Source organism: Homo sapiens, chromosome 3 (genome assembly GCF_000001405.40).
Source record: "Homo sapiens chromosome 3, GRCh38.p14 Primary Assembly".
Classification (NCBI taxonomy): Eukaryota; Metazoa; Chordata; class Mammalia; order Primates; family Hominidae; genus Homo; species Homo sapiens.
Window position 1 is genome coordinate 152,409,891 of NC_000003.12, and position 12,459 is coordinate 152,422,349.

Consider the following 12,459-nt stretch of genomic DNA (forward strand, 5'->3'; position numbering starts at 1 on the left):
TGGGATTTTGATATTTTTTGCTTTATTAAGTCCAACCAACTTCTAATCGTTTTGTTTTCAATTAGCTAGTTTGTAATTGCATTGCACATAGCTAGAAAATAGCTTTCTCATATTTCTAACTTACCATCTCTAGTTTCATTTAGTTTTATTCTTATTTTGATTGGCTATTAATTACCTAGCTTCCATTATATAATTTATATCTTACTATATATATCACATATGCAGTTTATATATATACTATATTTGTACATATGTAATGTAAAGGTATACTGTATTAAACTGTAATGTTTATAAATGAATCATACATTTATTTGGAGGATTAAACACTTAATCTAAATGTATATTTTCCCTTATTATAGCCACAAAAAAATTATAGCAGTTTGAAAGACTAATGAGATAATTCTTAAATTCACAATCGAACAACTTACAACTTCAGAAATTACTCGATGAATTTATTGAATGACTGTTATTGGTCTCATACAGGTTTTTAAGACTACAAGGGGGAAATTTTGCCTTTTTTGGACAGATTACTTTTAATTGAAAAGTACAGAAAAAATATTACAAAAAATGAACTTGGTGTAGACCAATATTTTATTAATTTTCCTTCTTTCCCTTAAAATATATACTGCATATATTGCAATGATGTCTTTGGAATCTTTGTTGGATTAATTCTATTTTAAAAGCCTCCTTGAATGGAGCCTAAGGGATCTATTAGGCTGGGGCAAAAGTTTTGCCATTAATGGCAAAAACCTCAATTACTTTTCCCCAACCTAATACTATGTAGGCTCTATAGAGTGGCCTGCTAGTCAGCAGGACAGCTCTCCAAAAGTAAGATTTCAGTGTAATCAACAAAAGCAAGGCACAGAAACGTAACGTTGTAAAAAATGTGTTACAATGAGACTTTTTCTTGGTGTATGTGGCAAATACACATTGATTAAGAGCCAAGCTTTTATTACATTATTGATGACTGATATGCATTGTCACTGGGTTTTGCTACCTGTATTATTTTTAGAGCGTTTAACAGATACGCTGCTAAATTGAGCAACTGCTGCTTGTTATTAGCTTGAGAACTTAGAAGAGGAAAGTAACTAATATTTATTGGCTGCCTATTACGACAGGTGCCATTTGTGAGGATGGCCTGTAGTCTTACTAATCTTCATACATCACCAATGAGATGTTATTGTTACTATTATATAGAAAAGATGTGACCACTCAGAGAATTTCACTAACTTCCACAAGGTCACACAGCAAATAAGTAACATAGCTACAATTTGAACAAAGCTCTATTTGATAAAATTATACAGTTATCTCAATAGTTGGAGCTACCTGTACCTATCAAAACTGAAGATGGCTGGTCATGGTGGCTCACACCTATAATCCCAGCACTTTGGGAGGCCAAGATGGGTGGATCATGAGGTCAGGAGATCGAGACCATCCTGGCTAACATGGTGAAACCCCATCTGTACTAAAAATACAAAAATTAGCCGGGTGTGTTGGCGGGCACCTGTAGTCCCAGCTACTCGGGAGGCTGAGAAAGGAGAATGGTGTGAACCCAGGAGGCGGAGCTTGCAGTGAGCCCAGATCGCGCCACTGCACTCCAGCCTGAGCGACAGAGCAAGACTCCGTCTCAAAAACAAAACAAAACAAAAAAAACTGAAGACATATTTATATTTATATTTCGCATTAACCTAGCAGCCCAATTTAATGTATCTTGAAGTGAAATCTCTAAATGATTTAGAGTAGTAGCTCCAATATAAAAGTCTGTATATGTGAACTTTAGATACCGATGAATTTCTGTTTTTAGACTTTTAAAATGTAATGTCATTGTATAGATTTTATGATGCCAGAAACATTGAATGTCTATACAAATCTCCTTTCGTACCTGGTGAAACTTACAAACCTGCTTCTGTTTCCTTTTTTTCTTTTATGTGGCTAGCTTTATCATGTATTTAAATGACTGACCTCTTAATGAAAGCATCATTAGGTCAGTACAACTCAGAACCAAGATTTGGTATCATATTTAGTTTTTTCTATTATCTCCATTGTCTCTAGAATAGAGTTAGAGTAGAATTCATCTTGAGGCATTTAGTAAGAAATGAACATTCATTCATTCTGTGAATGTTTATTGAGGTGTGATGCTACTAAGGGCTCAGAGATGGATGAAGCTGGCAACATACCAACATAGTATTTACCTTAACTCTCAAAGGAAGGTATGTTCCTGGTGGTTTTAGGCAATTCTAATGGAGGATGTATATTCTAACTTATTTTTGACCTTTTTCCTTTGTCAAACTATAATCATTCAGCAGCAGAATCAGTATTAAACATGTTTTAAACTTCCTAAGAAGCAAAGTGTATCTAATATCATTTGCAGACATTATTCTCTTATTTTTTCCACACATGTCAAATGAAAATTTATCTGGCTTTGCACAATTGTATTTTGTAGTGTTTTCTGCTATATCAGAATCACCTGGAATGCTTGTTAAAATGTTAATTTCTGGGCCCTCAAACCTGTGGTCACAGCTCTCTGTGGGAGAGTCTTGGTAGTCTGTATACGTTCTCACCAAATATCAGTTGATTCTTAGGAACACAGCTTTTTGAAAATGAAGGGCTCAACACAGTCAAATCAAGCTGAGCATAGAAAGGTACCATAGATAAAAAATGTAGGAGAACAGCATTTTTCCTGAGTAGATGTCATATATTCAGAATGAAAATCAAAAGTCTGAGCGTCTTGTAAAAGTTTTGAGATGCACTGATGCAGAATATACGTATACCAAACACACGTGATTTCTCTCTGTTATTTCAGTCCAGGCTATGTTCATTGGCAGGATGGTCTGGGTGGTGTGTATTCAAGGAAGGTACTGGAATGAAGTGCTTAGGAAGACCACAGTTAGTGTTGGAAGGTCTGGTTCATGGCCCAGGGCTATCTATCTACTATTTACAGAACTATAGAAACCGATGTGAGTGAATTGATGGGAAGTGAATTCTCGTGGTGACCATAACCCCTCTCACCTGCATTTAAAGAAATCCAGTTTTAGTAAGAACTATGATGCGGAGATACTGAGAACAAGAATTTCTGTTGCAGCCAAATTATTCTTTGTATTGAAAAAGCAGGCTTTTTCTAGGAGACTTCAACTAAATATCCCTGAAATTAGACCATATGCTATCCAGGAATTTATTTATTTTTGCCAGTCCTACTCTGTGGTTTATCTTGCGAGTCTAAGGTTGTTTTTGGTTGTTTTGTATCAAGACACTTTTAAGCTAATAACATGCTCATGATCCCAACCTACATCAAGCATGGTGATTTTATATGGAATAAGTTTAATATATATGTTACTTCGTGAGCATACCAATAGCCATAACTAAAAGATGTTTAAAAAATCATCTTCATACCAATGTTTTGTTTTTCTTTTGTTTGATACACAAATTAAATTGTGGTGGCAGTGATACACGTTTTCTAATAATTCAGTACTAGATAGAGAGCCTGAGGCTTACAGAAGTTAGCTCCTTATGCAGTTCATGCATTTGATGAGTAAGAGAGCTAGGCCTCTGTCCCAGCTCATGAGACCTGTAAGGTCTCTGCTATCCACTGTCCCCTGCTGCCTACTGATTTCAAGTATTACATGAAGCTTGTAAAAATAACAAGCAGTATCCTATGATTCTAGCCTAGTGTAGAGACATTCCTAAAAACCTCATACAAAAGGAGCCAAAACCGATCATTTAAATTAGAATTATGACAGATTTTATCATAAGTATAAGCATCAGAGTCAATTTATAGCATAAAGTTCAATTATACTAAATTGGTGTTTTTAGAATGTGAATGATGGCTTCAATTAATCTTTCTTTTATTCTACTGCTTGTAAACAGTTTTAATTAGATTTATTGGTGAAAGAAGTTGTCAAGGTGGTTGATGAGATCTGCTACTATTGATATGATTTGAAAATATGTTGAAATAATATGGGTAGAGTGCCTCACACCATATTACATATTATAGGCTTTAATGAATATTTTATTAAAAAGAATTATCCAAAAGGAAGGTATATTTGTACTTATGATTTTATAGTAACTTCTTTTTTTTGAGATGAGCTCTCACTATGTTGCCCAGGCTGGTCTCAAACTCGTGTGCTCAGGAGATCTCTTGCCTCAGCCTCCCAAAGTGCTAAGATTACTAAACATGTATGATTTATCTCCATTATTTCAGTCCAGGCTATGTTCGTTGGTAGGATGGTCTGGATGGTATATATTCAAGGAAGGTACTAGAATGAAGTGCTTAGGACAGAGTACAGAGGTAGTGCACCGCCATTCCTGGCTTATAGCAACTTAGTTTCTCCATTTTTTAAATTTTTTGGAGGGTAAATATATCCATTTCTTATTGTTTCATAGATTTTGTAAAATGGAGAAGACTAGATTTATCTTTGAAAAGTTAAAGGCCACATTTTTCACCAGTATTTCATTATACTTATTAATCTCTATATACAGTGGGAACACATGGGAGTTTTCTTCTTTTCAATTGTAAATTCCTAATACATGGACTGGTAAAGCCTAGTAGTAATTTTAATTTTATTTGTTATTAGATACTTATAAAGGTGTTTTACTGAAGATACAATGTGCCTTGAGTCCTCTAAGTTCATTTCCTAAGATTTCAGTACAAGTAAAAATAAAATATAAAACTTGGATTCTTAAATCATTAAATTTAACCAGGAAGATATTATGACAGAAGCCTGATATTCTTTGTTTGATATTCTATGTTTTAGTATTACCCTAGCAGTTTGTAGATTTTTAAACTTGAATCTGGAAATGTTAATGCTAATATTATTAAAATAATTGAAACTCTTTAAGCTTTTAAACTTCTTTAAATGTCTCAACCTCTCATATTGATAGTACATTCTGGTGAATTCATTACTTGTTCTAAATGTATGATCAAATGATATGGACAATGCATTGTGTGAAAAACCAATGATACATTCAAGTGGGTGGTTTGCATTATATTTTTTTCATAATTTGCTGATTTTATTCTTTTCTAAGATGATGTTTGCTGCTTTTGTTTCTCTAGGGCCGTTGCTCCAGGGAGAACTGCAAATATCTTCATCCACCCCCACATTTAAAAACGCAGTTGGAGATAAATGGACGCAATAACTTGATTCAGCAGAAGAACATGGCCATGTTGGCCCAGCAAATGCAACTAGCCAATGCCATGATGCCTGGTGCCCCATTACAACCCGTGGTAAGCATGTTTTCAGTCTTCACTCATTAAGTTTTTGATTCAAAGTGCTCAGTTGTAGTACTAAAGTGATTATTGCACCGGATCAAATGAACACAGGCAACAATTTCAGTTGCCTTACCATTTTCTAGCAAAATTAAGTATCAGTCAAATGCTGGAACAATTTATACTTTGTGTAGGCACTCATTTTCTGGCTAAATCATGTGGACATTTACATTATAGCATTTTTTTTCCTCTAAATTTTTCTTCAAAATAAATCCCAAGACTGGCAGATGTTAAAATGCTCTGTGTTACAATGATCATCTAACTCACCGGTATAGTCAATATACATTTTCAGCCACCTTCAGAGGTAATAATGATATTTAAAATTGGTATGTATAGTCTTTAATTTTGAGAATAGTTCTCCCTTTCCTCCCTCCTTGAAAAGAATGTGTATAGTTCTTTTTCTTGAAAAGGTACCTTTCTTGTTCTTCTATAATTTAAGTTGAAATTATTTCATAGCTACAAATGCTAGGAAAATTCTGACAGTAGTAAATCAATATCATAGACTTGGAGGTCTCATTAAAGAAGAATTAATCAGGGTAGGCTGAAACTCTGAGGGCTTAAAGAGCTAAAGTTGAAAAACTGGGTGGTCATAGATATTTAGTATTTGCTGAGCAGTATATGTGGGTGACTCTTGCTTTGAAACACACATTTCTATTTAACTGTTTGGATTTCTGGAGTATGTGTGTAATAAATGACTTTAATAATCTCTATTCATATTTATTCATCAAAATGTGAAAGATTATTATAAGAATTAGTGTTAGGTTGAAAAAGGTGCTTTGACGTTAATTGTGATATAGTAATTCTACATTTAAATTCAAATGCATGTTGAAATTTGCAATTATCAGAATATATCTGTCAGTAATTTATGTCACTAGCTTATATGCAGTATCGTGGGGTCATGGGAATGTGAAGACCCATGTTTTTCTGCTATGCTAACTGTAGCATGTGTGCTGTTTTTTTTCCGAATACATTCTAAAACCTGAACTCAATGTAATTATTATTCTCTTTTAGAACTTTATGCAACAATCATTTCAAAAAAGAGTGGGGGATTGCATTTCAAGGTGGGAGGATCTCCACATTACATGGGCAGTGATACCAGTTATCAGTTCTATACAGTTGAAGTGAGAGAATATAATTAATTATGTGTCTGTTTTAACCTGATCTGGTTTTTTCCCCTATGATTGTAGGCTCAGTTAAAAATGTGATAGCTTAAAGTTATTTTTGTGACATCTACTAATTTCACATGGCTGTATTAGGATAGCATGAAGATTTCCATTTGGTTAAAAAAATTAGCTATAATAATTCTCTAACAGAACATGTAGGACAAAAGTCTCATTTGCACTTGGCTCTCACATACAGTTTCAAAGATCAGACAAGTCTTTAGGGTGGCTACCACCTTAGCTCCTCTAAGGCCTATCCTTGATGTGAAGATACTTTGTTCTACTTAAACATTTAAAGCATGCTTACCACCAGGCTGTACCCTCTCTGTGACTGGGAGCACCTTTGAGATCAGCAAGTGTGTTCCCAGATGGAAGAGAACACTGGCCACCACATTTCCTGACCTAGCCCTTGAGTCTTACTCTGAAGGCCATTCTAGGATGTCGTGTGTGCAATCCTGGGACAAACTGTAAACAATATTTATGCCCTTTGAAATACTAGTAACAAATATATTGTTCGTGAAATCACTAAATCACAGATTTCTGAAACCATGAGAACAATCATCACATTTTCTGATGCTTTTGTTAGAAAATTCTCTGCTTAGACAAAGAAATTATTTTTATTAGTTGTGAGCATATTCAGGCTTTATGTTAATTTTTCCTCATATGACTAGATTTGAATGTGGAATTACCCTTCTGCTAAAGGTATCCTGAGATCATTGTCTAAAAATATACTTTATTCAGAGTGATGACTTTGTAATAAGTACAGAAATCATTTTAATTATTCAATTTTAAGGCATTTGGGACTTTAATGACTGTAGAGAAAGCTTTAGTACAGGAAATTTGCCTTCAAAACCTCACCTGAGACTTTTTTATCCTTTTTGTAGTCAGCCCTGTTTTGATGAGGGTAATGACATGGAGATTCAGAAATGAATGGAATGGTCATAATCAGCTGCTTACTGGGAGTTTAATGTGGGCCTTACAAATAGGGATTGTAACAGGACTAGAGGAAGCCAGGTGACTAATGTGGAAAAGGGTTGCCACTCAGAGAGAATGGCCACTACTTACAGATGAGTGTTTGAAGACATGGCATTAACTTGGATCCAACCCAGGTAGTAGTCATATCAAAGAAGATAAATACTATGAGCAGTTCCATACCATCAGCAGTATTCAGAGTATCTGAGCAGTGACAAGACTTTTAGTCAAGTAGGTGACAGCATCTAACTTCTCTAGGGCCAGTTTAGCTCCCAAACCTTGGAGGAGCAGGAAGGAGAGAGGGAGACAGCAAGGTCTAAGCAAACTTGGAAGCATCTAGTATTATGCCTGGCATATAGCAGAGATCAATAATTACTTGATGAGTGAAAGAACAAATGAAGGAAGGAGTTTCCGAAACACCAGAAAAACAGGCAGAGATTCATAGTAGTTTACCTGCTCCATAGTTCAAAGGAATCATAACCAGCACCCAGAACACAAGCCCAGTTACAGAGGCTGCAACATAGAATGGGGCATAGAAGTGGACACATATCAGCAGATTATTAGCAAAGGCAGCTAGAGGCTTGATGGCTACAAGAAATATGCCACTAAGCTTGGGTTATTATGCAACCAAGTTTGGGTTCTCATTTTCTCATAAATTGTGAGTGACGAGGTCTATACATTTAATATCTTCAGAGCACAACACTGGGCTAACTTGGGGAATGCAGGGATCTGTAGGAAGGTTTCCCATTTTTATACACTTTGTGAGCTTCTATTGAAATGTACCAAGCCAAGAATCAGAAACCGGACTTAAAATTTTTGAGACAAATACAATACATTAGGGGCATTTACTGCACTTGGCACTTTTTGTATATTAAATCCTCACAAACCATCCTTTAAAGTAGTAATGTTACCCTAAATTTAGAGATAGACTGAGAAGTTCAGAAGGGTTAAGAAGTTTGCTCAGGTTACACAGCTAGTGAGTAGCAAGGCTAGGATTTTAACCACCTTGTTCTGCTTTTGGCACTCATGATGTGGAAGCACCTAATTGGAGACACACCACTGGCCAACTCAGGGTCCTTGGTTGATTCATTAAGATCTCTAACCTAGCTGGGTGTGCTGGCTTACACCTGTAATCCCAGCACTTTGGGAGGCTGAGGCAGGAGGGTCACTTGAGGCCAGGAGTTCAAGACCAACCTGGGCAACATAGCAAGACACCAACTTAGGAAGCTAAGGCAGGAGAATCACTTGAGCCCAGGAGGTTGAGGCTGCAGTGAGTTTTGATCAAACCACTGCACTCCAATGTGGGTGTCAGAATAAGACCCTGTCTCTAAAAAAAAAAAAAAAAAGAGAGAGAGAGAGAGAGATCTCTGACCTTCCTCAACAAATGGTGAAAAGTTTGGAATATATTACCTACAAGGTCTTAACAATCTTTTTTTTTTTTTTTTTTTTGAGACAGAATCTCACTCTGTTGCCCAGGCTGGAGTGCAGTGGTGTGATCTCAGCTCACTGCAAGCTCCGCCTCCCAAGTTCACACCGTTCTCTTGCCTCAGCCTCCTGAGTACCTGGGACTACAGGCGCCCGCCCCCGTGCCCGGCTAATTTTTTATAGTTTTTGTAGAGGCGGGGTTTCACTGTGTTAGCTAGGATGGTCTTGATCTCCTGACCTTGTGATCCGCCTGCCACAGCCTCTCAGAGTGCTGGGATTACAGGCGTGAGCCATCATGCCCAGCCGACAATCTTATAATGTAAACATAATCTCATTTCATAAGATGAGAAAATAAGTAGTAGAAAATGAATGATTTAATCTGTGTCCACACAGATTAATAAAACTAATATTATCAATTATAGAATAATTGACATTCTGCTGTCATTCCTATATCACTAATAAAATGCAAAATGATCTTTTTTTTTTAATCATATGTTCTTTGAGGACAAATGGAAGGCCTATAGTGTTTAATTATTTAAATTTAAAAAAATAAAACTTCTGGAATTGCCCGGGCAAGATGGCCAAATAGGAGCAACTCCAGTCTGCAGCTCCCAGCAAGATCAATGCAGAAGGCAGGTGATTTCTGAATTCCCAACTGAGGTACCCAGTTCATCTCACTGGGACTGGTTAGACAGTTGGTGCAGCCCACAGAGGGTAAGCAGAAGCATGGTAGGGTGTCACCTCACCCTGGAAGTGCAAGGGGTCAGGGAACTCCCTTCCCTAGCCAAGGGAAGCCATGAGGGACCCTGCTGTGACGGATGGTGCTGTCCAGCCCAGATACTACACTTTTCCCATGGTCTTCGCAAACCGCAGACTAGGAGATTCCCTTGGGTGCCTACACCACCAGGGCCCTGGCTTTCAGGCACAAAACTGGGCGGCTATTTGGGCAGACACTGAGCTGGCTGCAGGAGTTTTTTTGTTTGTTTGTTTGTTTGTTTGTTTGTTTGTTTGTTTTCATACTCTAGTGGCTCCTGGAACACCAGCGAGACAGAACCGTTCACTCCCCTGGAAAGAGGGCTGAAGCCAGGGAGCCAAGTGGTCTTGCTCAGCGGACCCCACCCCCATGGAGCCCAACAAGCTAAGATCCTGCTGGCTTGAAATTCTTGCTGCCAGCACCGCAGTCAACCTGAGACTATCGAGCTTGGTAGTGGGAGGGACATCCACCATAATTGAGGCTTGAGTAGGCGGTTTCCCCTCACGATGTAAACCAAGCTGCCAGGAAGTTTGAACTGGGTGCAGAAACCACCTCAGCACAGCAAAGCTGCTGTAGCCAGGCTGCCTCTCTAGATTCTTTCTCTCTGGGCAGGGCATCTCTGAAAGAAAGGCAGTAGCCCTAGTCAGGGGCTTATACATAAAACTCCCATCTCTCTGGGACAGAGCACCTGGGGGAAGGGGCGGCTGTGGGCGCAGCTTCAGCAGACTTAAATGTTTATTTCTGCCTGCCAGCTCTGAAGAGAGCAGCAGATCTCCCACCTAGCACAGCGCTTGAACTCTGCTAAGGGACAGACTGCCTCCTCAAGTGGATCCCTGACCCCTGTGCCTCCTGACTGGGAGACACCTCCCAGCAGGGATCGAAAGACACTTCATATAGGAAAGCTCCAGCTGGCATCTGGTGGATGCCCCTCTGGGATGAAGCTTCCAGAGGAAGGAAAAGGCAGCAATCATTGCTGTTCTGCAGCCTCTGCTAGTGATACCCAGGCAAACAGGGTCTTGAGTGGACCTCCAGCAAACTCCAGCAGACCTGCAGCAGAGGGGCCTAACTGTTAGAAGGAAAACTAACAAACAGAAAGCAATAACATCAACATCAACAAAAAGGACGCCCATGCAAAAACCCTATCGAAGGTCACCAACATCAAAGACCAAAGGTAGGTAAATCCACGAAGATGAGGAAAAACCAGCTCAAAAAGGCTGAAAATTCCAAAAACCAGATTGCCTCTTCTTCTCCAAAGGATCACAACTCCTCGCCAGCAAGGGAACAAAACTGGACAGAAAGTGAGTTTGACAAATTGACAGAAGTAGGCTTCAGAAGGTGAGTAATAACAAACTCCTCTGAGCTAAAGGAACATGTTTTAACCCAATGCAAGGAAGTTAAGAACCTTGATAAAAGATTACAGGAACTGCTAACTGAATAACCAGTTTAGAGAAGAGCATAAATGACCTGATGGAGGTGAAAAACACAGCATGAGAAGTTCGTGAAGCATACACAGGTATCAGTAGCTGAATCGATCAAGTGGAAGAAAGGATATCAGAGACTGAAGATCAGCTTAATGAAATAAAGCGTGAAGACAAGATTAGAGAAAAAAGAATGCAAAGGAATGAACAAAGCCTCCAAGAAATATGGGACTGTGTGTAAAGACCAAACCTACGTTTGATTGGTGTACCTCAAAGTGATGGGGAGAATGGAACCAAGTTGGAAAACACACTTCAGGATATTAGCCAGAACTTCCCCAACCTAGCAAGATAGGCTGTTTGGGCAGACACTGAGCTAGCTGCAGGAGATTTTTTTCGTACCCCAGTGGTGCCCAGAATGCCATCAAGACAGAACCAGTCACTCCCCTGGAAAGGCGGCTGAAGCCAGGGAGCCGAGTGTTCTTGCTCAGTGGATCCCACCCCCATGGAGCCCAACAAGCTAAGATCCACTGGCTTCAAATTCTCGCTGCCAGCCTAGCAGTCTGAAGTCAACCCGGGACTAAGGAGCTTGGTTGGGGGAAGGCATTTGCTATTACTGAGGCTTGAAGAGGCAGTTTTCCCCAAACAGTGTAAACAAAGCCGCTGATAAGTTTAAACTGGGTGCAGAAAATTCACATTCAGGAAATACAGAGAACGACACAAATATACTCCTCGAGAAGAGCAACCCCAAGACATATAATCGTCAGATTCACCAAGGTTTAAATGAAGGAAAAATGTTAAGGGCAGCCAGAGAGAAAGGTCAGGTTACCCACAAAGGGACTAACAGCAGATTTCTCTGCAGAAACCCTACAAGCCAGAAGAGAGTGAGGGCCAATATTCAACATTCTTAAAAGAATTTTCAACCCAGAATTTCATAGCCAGACAAACTACGTTTCATAAGTGAAAGAGAAATAAAATTCTTTACAGACAAGTAAATGCTGAGGGATTTTGTCACCACCAGGCCTGCCTTACAAGAACTCCTGAAGGAAGCACTGAATATGGAAAGGAAAAACTCGTACCGACCACTAAAAAAAAAAATACCAAAATGTAAACACCATTGACATATGAAGAAACTGCATCAACTAATAGGCAAAATAACCAGCTAGCATCATAATGACAGGATCAAATTCACACATAACAATATTAACCTTAAATGTAAACAGGCTAAATCTCTCAATTAAAAGACGCAGACTGGCAAATTGGATAAAGAGTCAAGACCCATCAGTGTGCTGTATTCAGGATACCCATCCTACGTGCAAAGACACACATAGTCTCAAAATAAAGGGAAAATAAAGGGATGGAGGAATATTTACCAAGCAAATGGAAAGCAAAAAAAAAAAAAAAAAGCAGGAGTTGCAATCCTAGTCTCTGATAAAACAGACTTTAAACCAACCATGATCAAAAAAGACA

The 12,459-nt window shown here is 38.5% G+C and overlaps 1 protein-coding gene across 130 annotated transcripts in view; it reads left to right on the top strand.

Moving 5' to 3' along the window:
• MBNL1 (muscleblind like splicing regulator 1) overlaps nucleotides 1-12,459 on the top strand; it is a 222,149-nt gene that overhangs the window by 166,259 nt on the left and 43,431 nt on the right. For 127 of the 130 annotated variants that reach the window (NR_170697.1, NR_164857.1, NR_164858.1 and 124 more), the window contains one exon: nucleotides 5,051-5,221. The exons of the other annotated variants lie outside the window; for them this stretch is intronic. Coding sequence is in view for 111 of the 127 variants with exons in the window: in NM_001376819.1 (NP_001363748.1) it covers nucleotides 5,051-5,221 (171 nt within the window). In the remaining 16 variants the exon portion in view is untranslated. The remainder of the gene's footprint in view (nucleotides 1-5,050; nucleotides 5,222-12,459) is intronic. 130 annotated transcript variants of the gene reach the window in all.